This window comes from Homo sapiens, chromosome 10, assembly GCF_000001405.40.
Source record: "Homo sapiens chromosome 10, GRCh38.p14 Primary Assembly".
Taxonomy (NCBI): Eukaryota; Metazoa; Chordata; class Mammalia; order Primates; family Hominidae; genus Homo; species Homo sapiens.
The window spans coordinates 37,298,770-37,321,655 of NC_000010.11; the positions used below are offsets into that span (position 1 = coordinate 37,298,770).

The window sequence follows — 22,886 nt, forward strand, 5'->3', positions numbered from 1 at the left end:
TTCTAGCCTCTTACCTCATTGACTCCAGCAAAGTGATTTTACAGCCAGAGCTGTTTTAAGATCAGTGTACACATATTTGTGGGTGGAGAAGTAGAATTTGAGGAACGAAGAAACATAGCTTAGTTTTGAAGTTTTCATTTCATAGCTTCTTGGGCTTTTGGTGAAATGGAATGTGTGGAAGTAGGAGTACAGCTAACTGTGCTAGGCAGGGCAGCCCTGTGAGTTCTACTGCTGTCTTGGTTTTACAGAGGGGGAAGTGAGGCACAGAGAAGTTAATTAACCTCTGAAGTGTTGCAGTCTAAGGCACAGAGGCACAGTTCCAGGCAAGGTTCATCTGAATCTTAAGTCCTCACTCTTTGCCACCATCCTCCACTGCTGAGACCATCCCTGTGAGTCCTGCCGCTCTCCTCCCCTGGTCCATATTCACTGCTACTCAATGAGGCCAAGGAAGCCAATGGTCGTGTCCCCAAGAGGATATCTCTCCCCTCCTGAGAATCTTTCTCATACATCTCAATTCTGAGATACAGATTGAGAAGCACCTCAGCAAATCCACTGCATGGAAGGCAAAACAACCTTGATCCACAGCAATGACCACAAGCAAGGGAAGCCTGGCTATGAGCACAGTCATAATGTCGTTCAAGTTTGGAGATTCAAAGCATAGCATGTCTACCTGAACATCCTCAGATCCTGCTGACATCACCAGTGGAGGTCCTCTGCTGATTGATATAAATCATTTTCAAATCCAGCAATGCATTGATGACTGTTAATTCCATGCTCCTCAAACTTGCCCAGAAATGCCTCTAATAGGTAAGAGAAAGAGAAGACACCTCAGTATGTATCCTATGGCAATGCATCTCAAAAATGATACTTATTTAAAGACTCTGTTTTTAGGTAAAAAGAAATTATTCAAATGTATTCTGAAAATGTTATTGGTTTTAATATAAAATGATATGTTCTCCAAATCTTTAAGTGGGATTGAAGATCCAGGAAGATGTATCTTGATATTCTTGATCATTTGGTTTAATGCAGCTACGCACAGGCAGTACTCTAATTTAGGATCCATGAATCTTCAGGTCACACTGGCCTTTCAAAGGATGCTCTGAATGCCCCAATAAGTGATTGATACGAACTTTTCAGTGAGATAAAATAGCTCTTATTCAGGATATGTTCATGTGTATATACATTCTGTGTCTTCTATTCTCTACATTTTCATTAATTCCATGTAGAAAAGTAGAGGCTAGGGACGCTGTCCCTCCCAGGGTCACTGCCATTAAGCCCTGTGGGTGACCACTTGTCTTTAGCACCTGTGAGGCCCACTGTTGGGGCGAGAGGAGTCTTCATCAACAGCAGCAACAATAACTAGATGTCTCCAGCTTATGATTCCTGCCATCTTGGAGGCTACAGAAAAGACTGAGTGCCAAGATGGTTTCCAGGACTTCCAGGACTTCCAGCTCTGAAATTCCTTTTCTCAGTGATAAGGATCAAATAAGCAAATGGCCTGGGCAGTTCCACTCTGTGTAATGGAGGTGGCCTTATTCCCTCCCCAGCCCTGCAGAAGCAGCTGAGGCTCTGGAGCACAACTTAGGCTGAGAATCACCCCCTTCTTCCTGGGGCCCTGACTGAGGCAGGCACCCAGTTCAGCAGTTTGATGTGCAGCTATGTGAACAACACTTCTCATGAGCAATCATCACCCCCCCTTTCTCTTGTCTATTTGGGCACTAAGTTGCTGGTGAACATCCTTCATGATCAAAGAGCAACATCTGAGTGTGTCCTGAGTGAAGTTCTGTAAAGATAAGAAGCAGGACTTGCCACCGCATTGTAAGAGAAAGTTTACCAGCATCAATTAATTAAAATAGAAGGCAGCCAATCGGCATTGGGCACAAGGGAATGATGCTTGTATTGGAGCATGATGAAGAGATGTCAGCTTTGTCTCAGCACCAACATCACTATTAACACTTGCTATCTGTCACCAATCAGCAATCTGTTCCTGATGTAATCGAGAGTTCCAAAGCACAGCTCAATTCTTCCACCTCTCTGAGAAGAGTGGTGTGTAGGCCTTCTGACAGTGGGAGAAAGTTGCACTCTTTGGGACTCAGTTTCTTCTCAAAACTCATTCAGAAATCATCACGTGTCACTGTTAGCTAGGTCCAGGATGTTTGAATAAGAATTGTGGTTATATTATAGTAAATTGTGTAAAAAATCAGTTAGTTATGGGTAATAGGTATGGCAGTTACCATGTGCCAAGAATCTTATAAAGTTTTTTACATTTAGTAATTCATTTAAGTCTCACAGTAACCCTACAAGGTATATTTTCCTTATTTTAAAGAGGACAAAACTGAGGTACAGTGGTTAAATAATGACTCAATGACAAAAGTGGGATTGGAGTCCCAACAGTGTGGACATGCTTGCTTTGGATTGAATGTTTGTGTCTTGCCCCATATCCCAATGTTACAGCCCTAACCACCAATGTGATGGTATTGAGATTAGGGCCTTGAGTACTTAACTAGGGTTAGCCGAGGTCAGGAGGGTGGATGCCTTATTATGGGATTAGTGCCCTTCTAAGAGGGACAGTAGAGGGCTTGTTCATGCTCTCTCTCTCCATGCACAAGAAAGAGCACACAGTGAGAAGGAAAGAGGCCCTCACCAGAACCTGACCATGCTGGCACCGTGATTGCAGACTTCCAGCCTCCAGGATTGTGAGAAGATAAATATCTGTGGTTTAAGTCACCAAGTCTGTGGTGTGTTTTATGGCAGCACAAGGTAACCCAGATGATGCTTTTCACCACTGGGTGGTCCAGCCTTTCATGGAAGCTGTCAGCTCCTCAGCCTTGCAAAAAATGCTTGCTGGTCACTCTCTTTGGTCCTTTCAGATGCCTTTCTTAGTGGTGCCTCTACCAGGCCCTTGACTTCATCCTTTTCTGTCAGAGGAAGGGTGAGTAAAGTACCTCCTCCCTATGCATCTGCTGTGGGAAGTGTGGGTAACTCACAGATGATGCCACAGGGCATGTATTCAGGCACCACAGGCAGCAGTGAATGAATGAAGTGAAATGGTATTTATCCATTTCCTGGAAAGGTCCAGGGTTTGGCTCTGCAGGGCCAAGAGAACAGCTTTAGCTGTGCCTTAACCCAGTCCTGGAGAAGCCAGCAGGCCGTAATCACGGGGAGGAAACCCATCTTTTAAGGGCTCCTCGCTCAGGTGGTGACAAGGTGAGGTGGTCATCTATGCTGTCTTTATCAGTATCTGTCCTAAATACTGTGCTCTGACATTGATGCTAATATTCCATATTATCAGGGCTTCTGTGGTGTTTAGGCCTCTAATTTTTCTCTTCAGTAAGGGGAATAACTTTGCTGTGTCAGCGCAGTGCCTCAGGAGGGTTGCAATCTAGAAACAGTGATTGTTAAAATTGCCTATAAACACACAATATAAACAATATGCCACAGACACAGAGGCCCCCAGCATAGTTTCTGGAAGGTGAAGTCTCACCTCTGCCAGAGTAGAGTCACAGTGGGAATTGAGGCTTGGCATCTGGGTGCCTCTGAAGCTCTTCCTGTGGCTCCTGTTAGACAATTGACCCCGAAACACAGAAGATAGAGATTGCACATTGCGTTCAGTAATTGTTGTTTATTTATGTTATTTCTGAAAATAAAAGACAGCACAGGCTGCTTATCTTTAAACCACACAGTACCAGTTTTAAACCTGTTCTATTCTAACCTTGGAATGGAGTCACATGTTTCAGCAGCAATATGCTGTTTCCCTTCCTCGGTTTCTCACATCACCCTCTGGAGAATGGTGTGGAAACTGCCCTGTTTTTACATCAAGATAAAAGCTTCAGGAAGTTACTGGAGAGTGGAATGCAGGGGTCATTCTGGATAACACAAAATAACTATTTGATTAGACCAACCATTTGGTCTCTAAAATTGGGTGCTAAAGACAAAGATAGGAAATTCAAAAAATCACCACCTGTAGAAGAAAAATCAGTTAATAATTTGACAGATTTAAGGGCCTCACCTTTCTCTCACAGAACTTTACCTCATAACACCCTGTTTGGGAAAATTGGAAAATATCTTCTCCTTACCTCCTAGGGGATAAACAAGAGTTTAAATGTTGCCACCAACTCAAACAAAACACACCTCATTCTTTATGTTCTGGAGGGAGAGGGAGTCCTTATTTTGCTTCAAAGTTTCCTTTCTGGAGCTTCTTTTTTTTAAGTAAAAAAAAAAAAATGTGTTTAAGGACTAGTAAAGTACAGTATTGAGAAGTAGGGAAAGAATAGAAGGAGGAGTTGAATCTGTAATTGACTGAGCAATCAGTTGAGATAACTCACTGCCTCCACATAACCTTGGGCTGTCCTATGAGTCAGTGGAGAGCAACCCCTCTCATGTAGGTTCAGTCTGAGGTAGCTCACTGGCACTGGGAAAGTTGATCAGGGTAGTCCCATCTCATGCACAGCCCCATTTCCCCATGAGCCGCTAGAGTGGCTCGTATCAGAAAGATGCCATACCAAATGCTGGCAAGGACCTGGAGCAACTAGAATGCATGTGCATTTACCTTGTCCTGACAGCCACTTTGGAGAACTCTTTGGCTGTTTCTTATAAAGCTAAACATAATCTTCCCAAATAACATGGCAATCCCACTTCCACTTGTTTATGTGAAAAAAATGGAAACATGTCCACGAAAAAGACTTGTAGAAGCTTGTCCATAGCAGCCTTATTCTTAATAATAGGTCTAAACTGGAAATAATCCAAACATCCACAAACAAGAGATTGGATAAAGAAATTGTTATATATTCATACAATGGAATAACATTCCAAAAATAAAATGAATGTGTTACAGGTACGTGTAACAACATGAATTCATCTCAAAGACATTATGTTGAAGCCAGATTTGACATAACTCATTCTTTGTCATTCCATTTATGTGAACTTTGGGAATAGTCAAAACTTAGCTATGGTGACAGCAGTCAGGGCAGTAATTATCTATCGAGTGTGGAGATTGACTGAAAAGGGCACAGGAGAACTTTCTGAAATAATAAAAATGTCCTATATCTTGTTTTGCATCGTAGTTACACAGGTGTAGACAGTTGCTAAAACGCTAAAAACTAAATGTGTAAGATTTATGCATTTTAGTGTATTTAAATTATAACCCCCAGAAAGCATTGCCTCATTTTTTCTGGAGGGTAAATATGCTCGTTAGGAGCATAAGGGGATGATTTTGAGAAACCCTTGCTCTGTCATTCTGTCAGTAAACCGCCACTAACTTTTCTGGTTTCAAAAAAGCAAGGTCCATTGATGAAACTCCTTTGTGCCTTAGTGACAAATAACATTGATAAGGCCTACTGTCAACAAGAGTGTGTTTGTTATATCTTTTGTTTTTAGTGACTAAATTTGTAGGAATGATATTTTCATGGGATTACTCAATCTCACCCACCATTAGTTGCAGGTGACAAGAAAGCTAAGTTGGCAGATGTTTGTGCTAGAAGCTGTGGGTTTACGTCTCCTTTGTGCATGTGTTCCAGACATACCAGTGGCTTGGTATTTAAACATCATGCTCAGGTGTGCAGGGTAGTTTTTGAGTTATAATAGGTATGCAGGCGCTGTGGGATTACTTGGTTGTTTATGTAAAAATTATTTTGCACTCACTTCTGAAATGAGTGTTAGTAGAATCATCTTTAGAGGAGGTTCCAAGGCATTGAACTGAGATACCTGCACTGTTTGCTGTAAATTTAAGCTTAAAATTGAAACCAGGTTATCAGCATTTCATGCCAGGAGAGAGTGGGCATGAATGATTTCAGGAAATGAAGAGCTAGATTTCAGCCTTGAATTTGCTTCCACCCTTCTGTGGCAAATTAGTGTGGGCTCACTGAGCACTTTATCTGCCCGTGGTAATTTATTTTACCAGACAGGGTGTCACTTTGTCATCCAGGCTGGAGTACAGTGGCACAATCATAGCTTAGTGCAGCCTCATTCTCTTGGGCACAAGCGCTCCTCAGCCTCCCTCCTCAGCCTCCCAGTTGCTGGAACTTACAGGTGCACCACCATAACCAGCTAGTTTTATTTTTTGTAGAGACAGAAGTCTCACTTTTTTTCCTAGACTGGTCTGAAATAGACCATTCTATTTGCTAGAATGGTCTCAAACCATCCTTCTGCCTCAGCCTCCCAAATTGCTGGAATTTCAGGCATAATTCATCATGCCTAGCCATTTCTTTTTTCTGCTGCATTGCAGAGTTAGAACCAATTTCATTTGTCCTGCACTGAGAATGTGCATTCCCAGCAGATCATGGTTGAGCTCAGCACACCTGCAACTCAGCCAGCCTCTTTGAAGGGTGCACAGTTACTAACTGTCAGCGTTGCACAGCCACCTTTAGCAGGTATGTTCAGAACTTACATTCCCACCCTTTCTAAAACAGCTCACAGTAACAAGAGAACGGGATTTAACTTTTGACATGCACACTCATGAAAACCAATGATTTTGGAAAGCCAAATTGTTGAGAAGATAAGGTGGGGATTCTGACTACTAGTATTTTTACAAATCTGATTGTCGTTGCAGGTTTTGTTTTATTTTGTTGTGTTAATGCTGAGAGTGGAGAATAGATTGGAATATTTGCCTCTTGTGTTTCTTTTTGCTTTGTAACATTGCAAGTGGTCCACATTTTCCTTTATTTAAAATTTAAAGTTGGTGCCTGGGGTTTCTGGTGTTAAATAGAAGTGATACTTCTGCATAAAGTATTATGGAGATGCTCTGTTCCATCCAGGGAGGTGCAGGTGAAAAGAGGGCAGTTCATCCTCCTCACACTTAGGGCAGGGAGCAGCATGCAGGGGCAGATCAGCAGCTTTGCATGTTGACAAATCCACTCTCTGCTGCAGATGCCTAGGGGAAGTTGCAGACTTAAATTTTCTTTTGTAAAATGGGGGAACACAAACAGATCTTATGTCACACTGGTTACTCCAGAAAAAAAAAAAAGAAAAAGAAGGAAGGAAGAAAAGAAAAAGAAGGAAGGAAGAAAAGAAAAAGAAGGAAGGAAGAAAAGACAGAAGGAAGGAAGAAAAGAAAAAGAAGGAAGGAAGAAAAGAAAGAAGGAAGGAAGGAAGGAACATTTTTGTAGTCTGTCACCACATTTATGAATGGCTGGTCCTCGGGCTCTGTGGTGTGTATGATTAGTAACATGGCTGAAGCTAATGCATTCTCTAATCCTGATCCCCAGGTTCATGAGTGTCTTTCATTAATATTCTTTGTAATTTAACCCCAGAGCAGTGCTGCACAGCTCAATGGCCTTACGATAAGATAAGCCTCTAATTCTGTCTTCAGCTCTCACCAGCTTGTGTCCTAACGTATCAAGAATTTCACCCACCTGAGCCTCACTTTCCTGTAATTTACTGCAGTGGGTTCCTAGGCATATAACACCTAAGAGGTCAGTAGATTGCCTTAGAATGATTTTAGGATTCCAGATCTCAATTCATCTGTAAAAATCAGGGCAGTAGGAAACTTTCTGAGACACACCTTTAAAATTAGTTATAATGTGTGTTATATTTACAGATCTTAGTTTTGAAGACCAGCAACACAGCAATACTTCCAGATCTCCATATAACCTCTGTTCATTTGGGAGGGGCTTTGTATTTTCAACAGGAGAGTTCAAAGTTCATTTTTTTTTCAGCAACTACAGTTCTAAGTGAAATCTATTTTTATTGATACATGATATTTTACATGTTTATGGGATACATATGAGTCATAATCTATTTTAAATAATATCTTAGTGTTGTAAAATCAACAGTGCTTTTTAAAAGAAATATACCTTGTTAATTATCCCACATGTGTCTTCAGAAGTACAGCTTGAACAAATCCACCTTCTGTGGACCAAGCACCACCCTGGGCATTTCTAGCATGAGCAAAATCCAAGGTCCTGGCTGGACTCCAGAGATGCTATTTACCTCAGAAGCATGACAATAGGAGGCAGAAGGAGCAGGCAAATCCAAGTCCTTTCTTGTAGTTTCCTTGTTTGGGGAGGAAAAGTTGAGTTTTACTATTATGGAAAAGAAACAGGAAATAGAGACAGACAAAGAGATATGACAATACAGTCCTGCCACCCAGATACTCATTTCCACCTACCATTCCATGCATTTGTTTTGAATATATAAGTATGTACATAAAGGTAGGTACTCTCAAGTCCATCAGGGCTTGGCTGTCCACTGTTTTTGAAGTTCCAGAATGTTTTTGCTAAGTTGAGGAAATACCAAATCAGGACTATGAAAATTATGGTATATATTGATGTGTCACAGAACACAGATGTGACATAATAAAGATGTGTAAGATTATATATATAACTTGTGTGTACACCTACCTCATCTGGGGATAACACCTCAAGTTTAATTTTGAGGCTTGGGTCAATCGTGCTTCCCTTCCCTTTCATAGGTCCTCTATGAGATATTGTCATAGATTCCATGTTATGCAATAGCCATAGAATATGACATCTCTCTATGATAATTCTATATTACTTTAATTGCTGCACAGAAGTTCATTGTATGTAAGTGCCACAGTATATTATAGATCTTCTTGTGGGACATCTATTTCTAGTTTATGTGATAGTATAGCACTTTCATGAATGTTCTTGTACTTGATCTTTACACATTTTCTTTTTTCCTTAGGATGAATTCTGAGAGATGTAATTGATGGGGCAAAATGTACTCACTGTTTGAGGTTTGAAATTTTTCCATCAAAAGCTGGTACTCTTGGTTTTTTAAGACAAAGAGCAAATCCTCCCCTGCCAGGATTGACTTTTGGCTCTTTTTTTTCAAACCTCACTGCTTTTTGGTTTAGTTGTCATAAAATGCCAAGCACCATGAACAGGGCTCCATGAAGGGGCTCAGAGGTAGGAGGGCTGTGATTAGGAGAAGGCTTGGACTGATGGGCAATTTGAGTGCTCAGAATTAGAGTGAGGGGGTGGGGGTGCTGCAGGGACAGATGCTGGGGAAAGACACCCTGAAGGGCAAAGGGAGCAACAATGGCTGCAGTACATGTGGCCTTTCAGCTAGCGCAGAGGATGGAAACCAGAGTGGGCTGATGATTGGATGCCAGGCCTGAGCCAGGTGAGTCCTGTTCTCATTATACTGTAAAGTGAGCTGCTCCAAGCCTCCCTGATTCTTAGCACTCCCAGTCCCTGCAGGGGTCCCTGAGAAGGTTAATCTTGCATTAGGCCCTCTGCTGTTTTCCCTCTGTAAGCCTTACTCCACTTTGCAGTGAGTTCTAGTATAACTTCTATTCCAGTAAGATCAAATGGTTAAGGACTCCAGAAAAGAAATTTGGTGAACACAAAGGGTTTGTCATACTTTAACTTTTGTCCCTTTCCCAGGTGGCCCATGCTTCTAGGCCAGCCTCCCAATTCCTAGCTTGCTTCATGCTCCTGGCCTTTGCCTACTCAAAACAATCTGTCCTCCCCACCCTGTCATCTCTGTTCAGAGTAAATACCTCCCTCCCTCTGCTTTTGCCCTAAGTTATTTTTTCAACTCACCTAACATCTAACTTGGCTTTGCAGCTCTGTTTCTCCAAAACCCTCTCTGCCTGTTTCCTCCCAAGCTATCTATGACCAGTGCCAGAAACCAGAAAATCTTCTTGGAAGTTGCACTCTTTGCTTCTCTTCCCTCTCCTTTATCCTTCCACTTGGAATCTCTCTCCTTCTACCTGTCTCTATCTGCTGCAATCCTGTTCATCTTTCCAGGTACATTCCTCACTTTTTCATCTTTAAGAAGTCCTCTCAGAAACTGCATAGGATTTTTTCATGATATATGCCATATTCCACTGTGTAATGTAGATTACACCACAGGGTTTTTAATTTCCTAAAGGCAAGAGCTATAACCTAGTCATCTTCCTCTCCTAAGTGGGGAGTATCACCATGATTTGACCAAGTAGCTATGATATGGGTGCTATCTCCATAAATGAATGAGCAGTGAGGAAAAAGGAGATGATTATGAGTGAATGAAGAATCTTAATAAGGAAAGTTTATTCCACAGTGAAGCAGTGTTGGTGGCTCCAAAACCTCTCTTTAGGAAGGATTTAGGACAGCATCCTAATCAAAAGGGCCTGGAAGCACTTTATAAAAGAGAGAGACAAGATCGCATGTCAAACTAGAAGGAAGGAGGTGAGAGGAGATAGGGCTCCAGAGTGGAGCAAGCCCCTTCTGTCCCCTTGAACTTCCTGCCGGTGCATGGGTTACCTCTCATTAAATTTAATAGTACTTGTTGCTTTGGTGTAGTGAAATGAATGCCTTGATGAAATTGCATTGCACCATTTTTGAAAGAGAGAATACTCAAACGTGTCACTTCTGTTTCTTGCAAGCAACTGTGATCCTGAGCTGTGCACACTTCTGGTTGGGATTATTTCTGGTTTCTACTTCCTGTTTGAAGATGTGGCATGGAGAGTGTAAGTTGAAGAGATGAGTGCGGGGCTCATCTATCCCTGGAATTGTCTTTCCCACAATCCCTGACACAGAATATGAGCCATACAGGAATTCTGAAGAAATGGGTCTCTTGCCACCTCCCAGTAAAAGATTATTTTTTAAAAAAAAAAGGTAAATCTAAACTTGTGCTTTATCTTGATATGAAAATACAGACAGCAATAGAAAAATTTAAAAATTAACTGGGCATGGTGGTGCATACCTGTAATATCAGCTACTTGGGAAACTGAAGTAAGAGGATCACTTGAACCCGGGAGTTTGAGGCTACAGTGACCTGTCACTGCAGTCCAGGCTGGGCAAGAGAGCAAGACCCTGTATCTTAAAAAATAGAAAAAGAAAAGAAAGGATATGTTATGGTAAGAAAATATATAGACAAAAAGGAGCTTTGAGAGAACCCGTGAAGTCAATAGGGATGCTGCCTTGTAGGCAGAGTTTCTAAGTACGCACCCATTCCATCAAGTTGAGAAAGTATGACTCAAAGTTTATCTCGGTTTATACCTTAAACTGAGTGCTATGTGATCACAAAGATCACAAATATGGCCCAGCTTCACATCCCATGCTTAGAGAAAAACCATGTATAGGTAAGGCATTTCAAATTAGAAGAGTGAAGTATTCTTCATTTTTCCAAATATCCCAAAATAAATATATTTACAATAAATTCTTCTAGAGAGGTAGCTCACATGTCTATGAGAAAATCAGTCACAAAGATGGCATTACTATGTAGGTAAAATAGAAAATACTACTTAAATTTTTCTTTTATGTTCTAAAATATATTACTTCCAAGATATCTTGTGTACAATGTAAATGCAGTGACTGATTTCCAAGATTTTGTAAATTTTAATTTTATCCATAAGCAAAAGGAGGGGCTGCTTGTAAAACATAATACTGATTGTTGTTTCGGGTGGTTCCAATTTCTCCTGCAAATAGGTGGCAACTTCCTTGAAAATTGAGACTCTGGGCTGGGTGTGGTGGCTCACGCCTGTAATCCTAGCACTTTGGGATGCTGAAGTGGGTGGATTACCTGAGGTCAGGAGTTCAAGAACCGCCTGGCCAACATGGTGAAACCCCATCTCTACTAAAATACAAAAAGTAGCCGGGCATGATAATGGGCACCTGTAATCCCAGCTACTTGGGAGGCTGAGATGGGAGAGTCGCTTGAACCCAGGAGACGGTGGTTGCAGTGAGCTGAGATCGTGCAACTGCATTCCAGCCTGGGCGGCTGAGCCAGACTCCATCTAAAAAAAAAGGAAATTGAGACTCTGAGCTCAGCTTTACCTTGGGCAAACACAATTACTTTGGGTTCCTGATGTTGACAATTGAGATTTTAATTCAAACCTTCTAGGAAAAGACATCAGATTTCATTTTTATCTCACCATTTCTCCCACACTCATTGAGAATTTTTCTTGCCTGACAGTCAAGGATGTCTTTTGGGACAGTGTTCATTTTGGCATTATCTTGACAACCAATGATGGCTAATGCAAAGAGAGAAGGGAGAAAGAATATTACAGCCATATTTTGTTTTTTCCCCCATTCATTAAGTTTTTTAACTGTTCATAAAAAATCATTTTAATTTCTTAAATGTTTTGATTTATCACTACTTCCATTTTCTTTGGTAAAACCATGTTCTGAAAATAGCAGAGTCATAACCCTTTGGAAATAAAAAGATTATAGCCAGAAAAGCTGTTTTCTTAATCTAACGGATATACTGTATGAAAATATTAGTTCTGTTATTTGCTCTTTCAACTGATATGTCCAGTTGTGACACAGCATATTCCCTTACTGAATTTGTTCAGTTTTGCAAAGATAAGTTAGTTTTAGATAAATACAGAATAGTGCTGCCCACAGGAACAAGCTGCTGCCCACCACCTGGCATCACAGCCCCAGAACTCAGCTATTTCCATGGGACCACAGCATCTCATCTCTGGGCTGAGCCAGAAAGACCCCTACTGAAGTCCAGAGGCACTTTTCTGAAAGGTATTTTTGTCTTGTTTTGTTGAGGGGACCGGGAAAGATAGTATATATTGGCTGTCACCTGGAGTATTTGCCCAAAGTATATATATGCTCAATTTGTAATATCTATTTAATATCTAAACTATACTCATCCGTCTCCTCAAAAACAAGAATTTGGTGAGTTTATTTGGGCATTTTCTCTTTGATCATGAGGCCCATATTATGTCTCATATTATACTCCAAACCAAAAGTATTTGTTGAGGCAAGTAAATTCAGAGGCTTCTTCCAAGGAGAAAAGGCATATTGTGAGTTGCTTTCCTCTGAGAAGGCTACAGTGCTTCACTGTGATTTATCTTTCTGAATTTGCAGCTTTAGAAAACATGTTGTTTTTTTCTTCCCATGCACTAAACAAAAATATTAATCCTGTTTGTCCCCAACCACCCATCATTGGATATATGTTTTCAAATATTTACTGAGGCACAATATGCTACGACGCACCTTGAAGTTCCCAGAATAGGTTTACAGTAGTGAGAGGAAAATGAGGAGCAGCTGAAGGTCTTATTTTGTGATGGCAACACACGGTAATGTTAGGGAGCTTCCAAGGTGATGCTGCTGTTCTTTCATATTGCCTTTGGTCAGTTTTGTTTTTGTTTTGTTTTGTTTTGTTTTATTTTGTTTTGTTTTGAGATGAAGTTTCACGCTGTTGCTTGGGCTGGAGTGCAATGGCCTGATCTCAGCTGACTGCAACCTCTGCATTCCGGGTTCATGCAGTTCTCCTGCTTCAGCCTCCCAAGTAGCTGGGATTACAGGTGTTCAACACTAAACTTGGCTAATTTTTTGTATTTTTAGTAGAGACAGGGTTTCACTATGTTGGCCAGACTGGTCTCAAACTCCTGACCTGGTGATCTGCCCTCCTTGGCCCCCCAAACTACTGGGATTACAGGAGTGAGCCACTGTGACCTGCTGCCTTCGGTCAATCTTAAGGATGTTTTGTTTTGTTTTAAATTTTCGTGGCCATCATTCTCTTTGGAAAGAGCTTTTAAATTCCAGTGCAAGGCAGGCCTACCTTTTCAAATATATTTCTGTGAGCACTTAAGAAACTGAGTTGCTCCATATTTCTGCACCTTCTCCTTTTTTTTTTTTTTTTTTTTTTTTTTGCCCAGTTTCTAACTTGAATTTCTGGACCTGGGCTGTTAAGAGTAAGTAAAGAGAACCAGAATGAGATAATTCAGTCACTTTTTTCTTGGAGTCTGTCAACTTTCTGGATGCAGATCCATTATTATTACACTATTTAAGTCAGATTTGGAACTCCATAAAATGCCTACTCTATTGTCCTTTTAACCAAAATTTTCATGAGGAACCAAACCTATCTTTTATTAAAATAATTGATTGAGTATATGTGATACCTAGCTAATGAATATTTGTCTTAGAAGTATGAAGTTTAAATTACCCAGAACTGTTTTAGAATCCCTTAGCTTATATTCACAGAAAATGTTTGCCTATGACAGCATTCTTGAGTAAGCTGCCATGTACCAGCTCTCATTTAGGAGAAATTTGTTAATATTGCTTTATAAAAATAATATAAGCTCAAGGCCACTGAATACTGAGAAACTCATTTTCATTTATCTAACTGTATGTCTTGTACTTTGCCTTTGTTCAAACAATACAGTCCCCAATTCTAGAATGACTTTATTTTCTTTTTTTGTTTGTTTCTTTTGTTTTGTTTTGTGAGACACAGTCTCTCTCTTTCACCCAGGCTGCAGTACAGTGGTGCGACCTTGGCTCACTGCAACCTCTGCCTGCCAGATTCCAGTGATTCTCCTGCCTCAGCCTCCCAAGTAGCTGGGATTACAGGCATGCACCATCACACCTGGTTAATTTTTGTATTTTTTAGTAGAGATCGGGTTTCACCATCTTGGTCAGGCTGGTCTCAAAATCCTGACCTAAAGTGATCCCCCCATCTCAACCTCCCAAAGTGCTGGGATTACAGGCGTGAGCCACTGCACCTGGCCTTTATTATCTTATTATAACCCCAGATAGGCAGTTAAATGGAAATAAGAGATAATGAGCTATTTCTAAGTACAAATAGACCTTGATTTTTTTTTAACTTTCTAACTAAACTAATTTATTTTGGAGCACATTATATTTACATTTTCATCCACGTTTAGAACTAAACACTTTGACTGGCTATACTTGCATGCAAAAAGGGTCCAGGAAAAAAAATTTCCAAAACAAAAAGATGGGAAGTAAGATCCTAAATCAACCTATTTATTTTAAAAGTCTCTAAGAACCTGGAGACACCCTTAGGTAGACTGAAGAGTCACAAGTCTCATACTCATGTGTCAGTTGCCGCAACCCCACTTTGTCCCTTCTGTGGTCATCTGTCCTCTTGATGTGGGGTTAGATGAAGCCTGGACTACTGGGGAATAAGCCATTTACAGATAATGGGGCTTACTTTGTCAAAGTCGTGATGCAGAACACACAAAATCCTGGCTCCTGGTGAGACTTAAGTGACGTGCCAGTGGCCAATGCTTAACAACTCACTTTGTAACCTATAAATAACAGTATTAGGCCACTCACTTGTAGATTTTAGACAGGGAATATTTTAGAATCTTTTTTCCTAATTCAGGCCTTATGACATAAAAAGTGCTTGAGAACACTGTTTTAAATTACCAGCACCCCTTCTATTCAAGTGCTACATGCAGAAAGAGAAGATGAATCATCCCCAGCATTGCAATGCATTGTTCTCCAATAGCAGCAAAGTTTCCAGGCTAGCTCACAGGGGCTAGCCTAGTGGAAATATTAACAAATTGCTGAGTAACTCTCATATATGGATGCAATTTCATCCACTGAGACCATGCACAATGCCTGGGAGCATAGAGATGCTCAGACCATTGCCCTCTGAGGCCTGGTTTTGAATGAGAGGAAACAAGCAGCTTCCACGCTGGGTTGGATTCTCTTTGTTCTTGGCCTAAGCTGTAGATTATAAGTGCCCAGCCTTCCTATTTCTCCTGGTACCTGTGCAAGCTGATGGCTCACAGCAGGTGGGGCACACACTCGGTGGCCTTGTCAGTCTGGTCTGTAAGATAAAAGGTAATGTTTACGTTCCCAAATAATTCATAATAAACAGGGTATATTTTAACATCTTTTTTGAATGTCTCTTTTCCAACAAAAGACATTTTCTCATCTATTGTTTAAATTAAAATTCCACAGGCTCTGCTTTGACCTGAAGTATTTTATCTATCCTCAGTCTCAGGACACTGTTGATGGAATTAAGGTATAATGTGTTAAAGTCTGTGTGGCTTTCTCTTGTTTACTTTGGGGGAAAGGATGCCAGGAACATGTATAGTGTCTCAGTGCTAATACTCTATGATGGATTAACTCAAAGCATCGGGAGATGACTCATATTATCTTAACATGCTTTCTTTTATTGAAGGTGGAGGGCGGGTGGTGGTAGAATGTGATTCTACAGAAATGGCCCACGTCTTCAGAATGTTCTCCTGACACTTTTTATTTTGGGGCAAATGTGCTCAGTTTTTGTTCTCATTCTATCTTTGAGTTCTGGTACCCAGCAGAATTCTCACATGTGCTTATTTTGAAATTAAACCAATGCAAAAGTTTTTACCCTGAGGTGTTGCTAATTCATGAACCTATTCTCTTGACAGTTTTTCCCTCCAATATAACCTATATCTTATTAAATGTCTTTTCTTCTTCTAGATTGTTTCCAATAGTAGCTCAATTTTAGCTTTGTTCAGGCTCCAAATTAGAAAAACGCTGAGATTAGCCAAATATTTGAACACTGTAAGGTATTAATCAGTTTAATCTGAAAAAAAAGGTATAAGAACACTTCCTACAGTTCCAGAAGAGTGAGCTGTCCTGGCTGAGGGTTATTTCATAAGCACCTACATGTATGGACACTAATGGTGAGTCATCACCAGAGGAAGATGAAAAATCTGGACTCTGTATTTGTGTTGATGCCACATTTCAGGGCAAAAGTTTTGCATCCAGACCATGCACTCTAGCATCCTAAGTCCATGGCTGCTGTGGCAGTGGCTCTTTTCACACCAAAAATGGAGGGAGAAAACCAGCTAACTCCTGGGCTCTCTGACTGCAGTCAGGCCAAGGACCAGGGAACCTGCATCTGTTCACTAGGGTGAGGATTTAAAGCATCTTCTGGGTTTTCAGATCCTACCAAGAAAAGCTTCAGAGGCAGACCTTGAGTCTCTGTGAACCCCATCCTGTATTTTAATGACTGGGCTCCTCAGCAGATCTACAGACTTCTAGTTCTTTTCGGGGTGGTGGTGACTCTTGACATTTATTGTCCAGGTCTGGTCTGCAGCACTTAGGATGCCTCTAGCCTATGGAGATGGAGTTACACATCATGCATGTTGACTGTACATGCTACACCACTTCTCCAGACTTGACCTCTATCAAAGGGCATTTGGGTATGGCCCGAGATGGGAGTAACCTCTCTTTTCAGCTGTGTCAAATTCTTACACCATGTTCTTTTGTTTTTTCCTCATAATACAAGGCCAAGCACATCTGCAAAAAAGACATTGCTGGAGGAGGTGCAAAGAGCTGGAAACCAAGTCTCCAGTCCTGGGAAAAGCAGTGGTATGGAAAAGCAATGGAAAGAGGTAAGGAGCTTCATCCCAATACCTACAGAACACAAATTCTCCTGGTCCCTTTCTCTGTTTTTCTATTCATACATTTTTTTTCCCATATTGGTTTTCTATAGAAGCACAACATGCTCAATTTTAAGGATTTTGGTTATTCTCAAATTTAAGTTGCACTCTTTCAGTGGCCACATGAAATCTGACTTTCTGGGTCACTGGGTCTGTCTCTAGGTAAGAATGGGGGTTTTATTGGGTTTAGAGGTGAGCAAAACTACCCATGTCCCAAAAAATCGATGTCATGGCATTACTATCTTAAGGTGGAAAGATGTAGGTTTAGTAATATTGTTGGGGAAACCAGCCCCACACCACCCGGCGGGTACCCCAAGTCCAGCGGAGACAAAGGAATTATAGAGACAGAATAAGCATTTAAAAGGTGGATCCAGGGGACCAGAGCATCGGAGGCTTGCTCATGGCCCAGAGCTCTCTGGCTTCACCCAATTTATTGGTTTACAAGATCTTTGTTCTTAGGGCAGATGGGAGGGGTAGGAAGGGATGAGGAAAAGGATTAATCAGTGGAGAACTCTTGAGTCATTCAATAAGATATATAGCAGTGGCAGTTTCTGTGAATTTCCTTGAGCAAAGTTGTGTGTGTAAACTACTTAAGATCTTTAACTTATTGGGACTGAAACAGGAGGAAGCAGGTTTCAGGAGGAGCCAAGATGTTTGATTATACTCCACTGCTTCAAGGGAGTGTTATCTCCCTGGGCAACCTGTGGAATGCCGCTGAGTGTTTATGCTTTCGGGGCATAAAGACATGAAGGCAATAAGGAGACTTTTCTCCTCAGAGGCCGCCCATGGCTCCCCATGGGTGTCTCACACAGGGGAGACCAACTCATCTGGCACCCAAGAAACTCTCTTTCCCACAAGTATTCCACAGAGGAGTTAAAGCCAAGCCTTTGGATTTCAGACTCAATTATTTTATCCAAGGATGAGTATCACACATGAAGGTTTGCATGTGAAATAATTCATGTTATTATTCATTTAAATTTTGTTAATCCCACTTCAGCATACCTAGATGAGGGAGTTGTTTTTAATTAATTAATATTTCTGCTGGAGTTGAAAAGGATCATGTGAACTTTTGGAACAAATATTGCTTCTTGCATTTCTAATTGCTTATGAACATCAGCCTGCCTGCCCTTCCCTGCACATAACAGCTAGGCCTGTGCGTAGTTTTTGTTTCATCATGTACGTTAAGATTGTCTTAGGGTACACTCTGTTAATATGTCTATACCACCAAGAAAAATTTTCCTGGTCATGAGAAAAATTTTCAGAGTACTAGAAAGCCATTGCCGTATTAAGGATGTGGAATGTCTAGAATATTCTGAATATCATTCTATAAATGCTTAGAAGGAAATCTGTAACTAACTTCTAATGAAACACATATCTAGAAGTCAAATATTTATAGAGATTTCCACTTTGTGTAGGGTTTTATATTTTATTTCTACCACCTTTTAACACAATAAAGATAAAGCTTTTTTTATTAAAGAGAATCCAAAAATTTTGAGAGGCTTTAGAAATATAATTTCAAATAAATATATTAGGAAGGAGATTATGACATATAGTTGAAGTTGTGGATTTTTGATTATGTTAAGTACATTTATTAAGCATTCATTATATATCACCTATGCTAGTCACTAAAAAGTCATCAGTCAACAACACCAAAAGCACAGTATTCAATAAAATTAAAATTGTGAATATGTGGGGATAGCAGGCTGATCTTACTGCAAGTGTATATACAACCACTACATGTGTCTGAAGCATGCACAGGACTGTTCTGTCTTTCACTTGGCTCAAGCACAGGGCTCAGAACCTACTAGAGTTTTAAGGACCTACAACATTCTTTGGGACCTGAAAAAAAATATTTATAGGCTCCAAAAATTGGGGAGCAGGAAACCTCTGCATAATAAAACTAAGAAACACTTACAACATTTTAAAATGAACATCAGTTGTAATAACTGTTAAGCTTAGGAAGCACAATGAGTTTATCATATTTAGAAACAACTTACAGGCTTTCTTATATCTCAAGAGTTCTCAAGTATACACAATGATTGCTGAGCAAGCATAAGTAATTTCTAAGTAAAATGAGAATTTCAGAGCCCCCCAAGTTCTAAAACTCCTTGAAAGCATGTTACAAGAAAACATTACATCAGGCTGAAATCAGGTGTTGGCCTGCTGGGCTCTTTTCAGAAGACTCTGGAAAGAAACTTCTTCCAAGCACATTTATGCTGTTAGCAGAATCCATTGCCTTTCTTGCATTTATAGAACTGAGGTAACCGTTCCTTACTGACTGTCAGCTATAGGACAGGGGACACCTTTAGTTCCTAGAGACTTTTATAAGGACTTTGCATGTGTCCCTACATCTTCAAGCCAGCAAAGATGAGTTGAATCCTTCTCATACTCAGAACTTCTCTGACTTCCCCTTCTGCTGCATGTCTCTTACTTTCTGTTCTGCCACATCTCCCACTGGCTTTCTACCTTCCCTTTCTGCTTTTGAAGGCTCGTGTGATTACATTGGGTCTGCCCAGGTAATGCAGGATAAAATCCTTATTTTAAAGTCAGCTGACCATTAACCTTAATTCAATCTGCAAAGTCCCTTTACAGCAGAACCTGCATTAGTGTTTCATTAAAGTACCTGGGGTTAGGGAACTGGGGGTTTCTTGAGAATTCTGCCTACCCCTAGAAGATATTCTGAGTTCCTCTCTTTTATATAGAGTGTTGTTTCTTTCTCATATTTTTAAATTCCTCCTCTTAGGTCCTTAATCATTGAAAATACTTATCTTATAATCTTTATTTGCATTTTTATTTTGTGAGACCCTTGGAGGGCAGTCTAAATGTTTGTATCTGTTAATTTGTGATCATAGGGATTGGTTCCTTTCATATTTCCTTATGTTGGATTATAAATTTATGTTTCAGCCTGGTTTGAGGTTTTGTGTTTACTCCACCATCTGACTCCTTATGTTAATTTAATGTTTGGGATTAATCAAACCAGGCACATAGTGTAAATTCAAACCCAAAATCTATTTGAATGCAAGCCTGTTTACATTATTATAGCACACTCTTTACCTCCTCTCCAGAGCATAGAGCAAATTGGACAAGCTTTATTATTGTCTCCCAATGCCATGGTTTTGGGTTTTGTGATTTCTGTGCATGTGTGGTTTTTTTGTTTGTTTTTGTCATTAAATGTTCTACCCTTCTGCTGAAAGTGTACCCCTTTGAAAGTCTCAGCCATATGAACAGGGTCTCATCAGTTTCAACCTTCCATTCATTAGAAGCCTGAAGTATTTGTGTTTGGAATATTCAAACCAAAGTTCATACAGAATTGAGACAGGATAACTTCTCTAAGGCAGCCTCTTTGAGCTTTAAGTTTTAAGGTATCCATTTTATTTCTGACCCCTAAAGATTTTTCTTAGTTTCTTAGGTACTCAGGTATTCATTTTAGGTAATTTTAACTAGGATAGTTTTTAGGTTGTCTAGTTTTTCTTATTACCAGAAACAGAAATTCTTTCAGTGATTTATTTTTTCAAACCAATTTTTAGTGACCTCCACTCAGGTCAGGAATGACTTTCACGTTGCCAAATCAATAAATATTTTGTCTTCATCTTAGGCAACATTTCATCAAAAATGTTTTCATTGAGACATTCCTGTTAGAAACACTTTTTACTTTAATATTTTAATATTTTTGCTTTTGTTACAGTGTGCTTAGCTTGGCTTTCCTATTCTTTCTTCTTTTACTTCACTTTAATTTTTCAGGATTGCATGTGCAGGTCTGTTATATAGGTAAATTAGTGTCATGGTAGTTTGTTATACAGATTATTTTATCCCCCTGGTATTAAGCCTATTACCCATTCATTTTTTTTCTGATCCTCTCTCTCATCCCACCCCACCCTCCACCTTCTGATAGGTTCAAGTGTTTGTTGTTCCCCTCTATAGGTCTATGTATTAATGTTTAGCTCCTATGTGAGAATATGTGGTATTTGGCTTTCAGTTTCTGTATTGGTTTGTTAAGTGTAACAGTCTCCAGCTCCATCCCTGTTTCTGCAAAGGACATAATTTCATTCTTTTTATGGCTACATAGTATTCCATGGTCTTACTTTTCTGACAATTTTTAGTTTTCCCATAGCTTTGTTGTATCCTAAATTGTATAAAAATTCTTTGGGCATTTGCGTTTCTCACTTCACAATTTTTACCAGATTTTAGTACTTAAAATATTTTTTCTCCAATTTGACAATAGCTACTGAAGTGGTCTCCCTGACTTTACTCCTCTGTTGTCTTTGAAGGCATTGTCCACACTGCAAAGTGATTTTCTTTTTGAGGTAAAGTTTCACTCTTTTTTTTTTTTTTTCGAGATGGAGTTTTGCTCTTGTTGCCCAGGCTGGAGTGCAATGGTGTGATCTTGGCTCACTGCAACCTCCACCTCCTTGGTTCAAGTGATTCTCCTGCCTCAGCCTCCTGAGTGGCTGTGATCACAGCCATGCACCATCATGCCCAGCTAATTTTGTATTTTTAGTAGAGATGGAGTTTCTCCATGTTGGTCAGGCTGGTCTCAAACTCCCAACCTCAGGTGATCTGAGGTGATCTACCTGCCTCGGCCTCCCAAAGTGCTGGGATTACAGGTGTGATCCACTACACCCAGCAAGGTGGAGTTTCACTCGTGTAGCCCAGGCTGGAGTGCGATGGCACAATCTCAGCTCATTGCAACCTCTGGCTCCTGTGTTTAAGTGATTTTCCTGCCTCAGCCTCCCGAGTAGCTGGGATTACAGGTGCCCACCACCATGCCCAGATAATTTTTGCATTTTCAGAAGAGATGGGGTTTCACCATGTTGGCCAGTGTGGTCTTGAATTCCTGACCTCAGGTGATCCACCTGCCACAGCCTCCCAAAGTGCTGGGATTATAGGCATGAGCCCCCATGCCCAGCCCAAAGTGATCTTATTGATACAGGAGCTATGTAGAAAGAAATTATTTAGGCAGATAATGAGGGATAAAGAGTCCTCGACAGAGCTTCCCTTCTAACAAAAAGCAGCCCAGAAAAGTATTTCTTTTCTCTTAGAAAGAGCAGCCTGAAAAATCGAGCTTCAGACATAGATAAGCAAGCTGGAAGCTTGCATGGGGGAATGCTGGCAGCTATGCCAAGAGAAAAATGCTACCTGGGGGCCACGCATATTCAACATGGAGGCTCCATCCTCCCTTTTGTTACCATGTTTACCGGAACATAGAAATGGGCAACATGTCACAGCTCAGGCAGATAACCTGCCTGCATAATAAGAGATTAAAATGGGGCTACCAGAGATTCACCTTCTATGCAAATGGCACACCTGGTCTAACCAGTTTTTCATGTCCTATTCCAATCAGACACTGCCTCCTCACCAGCTGAGGAGGTAAAATACCCTCTGTATTTTGCCATGGACAGGCAACCCATTTTTCCAGGACAACTCTTTGCAGCAGAGAGCTATTCTCTTTCTTTTGCCTTCCACTCTCAACCTCACTCTTTGAGTGTCTGCATCCTAGTTTTCCATGGCCATAAGATAAGGAACCATGAGTGTTACTCTAGATGAGGCTGTTTCATTGTGGGAGCTCATCCAGGATCCAAGGTAGATTCATCAGAAGGGTAAGTATAGGAGTGGAACCCAAATCTCTACTTTTATTTTGAGGCCTTCTCTCCTCAATTTTAAATTGTAAAATCAAACTTAAAACTGGGTATCTGATGGCCAGTTAAAAGACTGGGTATCTGATTGCCAGTTAAGAGATGGTCATTTATGCTCACCACCATTCTCAAGACGCAGGTGAGGTGACAGGCTTGCTGGGGAATGCTGAGCG

The 22,886-nt window shown here is 40.5% G+C and overlaps 2 long non-coding RNA genes across 2 annotated transcripts in view; one reads left to right on the plus strand and one right to left on the minus strand.

Annotated features, from left to right (window-relative positions):
* Positions 1 to 6,640: 6,640 nt before the first annotated feature.
* LOC124902412 (uncharacterized) lies at positions 6,641 to 8,195 on the minus strand. Its single transcript, XR_007062115.1, has 2 exons — positions 8,105 to 8,195; positions 6,641 to 7,989 (listed from the first exon to the last, which is right to left on the minus strand). It is a non-coding gene; the product is annotated as an uncharacterized LOC124902412 (long non-coding RNA).
* Positions 8,196 to 10,416: 2,221 nt separating this feature from the next.
* The window catches only part of LINC00993 (long intergenic non-protein coding RNA 993), a 37,844-nt gene continuing 25,374 nt past the window's right edge, over positions 10,417 to 22,886 (plus strand). The window contains exons 1-3 of the long non-coding RNA NR_104061.1: positions 10,417 to 10,559; positions 15,609 to 15,672; positions 16,927 to 17,032. This is a non-coding gene — a long non-coding RNA (long intergenic non-protein coding RNA 993). The remainder of the gene's footprint in view (positions 10,560 to 15,608; positions 15,673 to 16,926; positions 17,033 to 22,886) is intronic.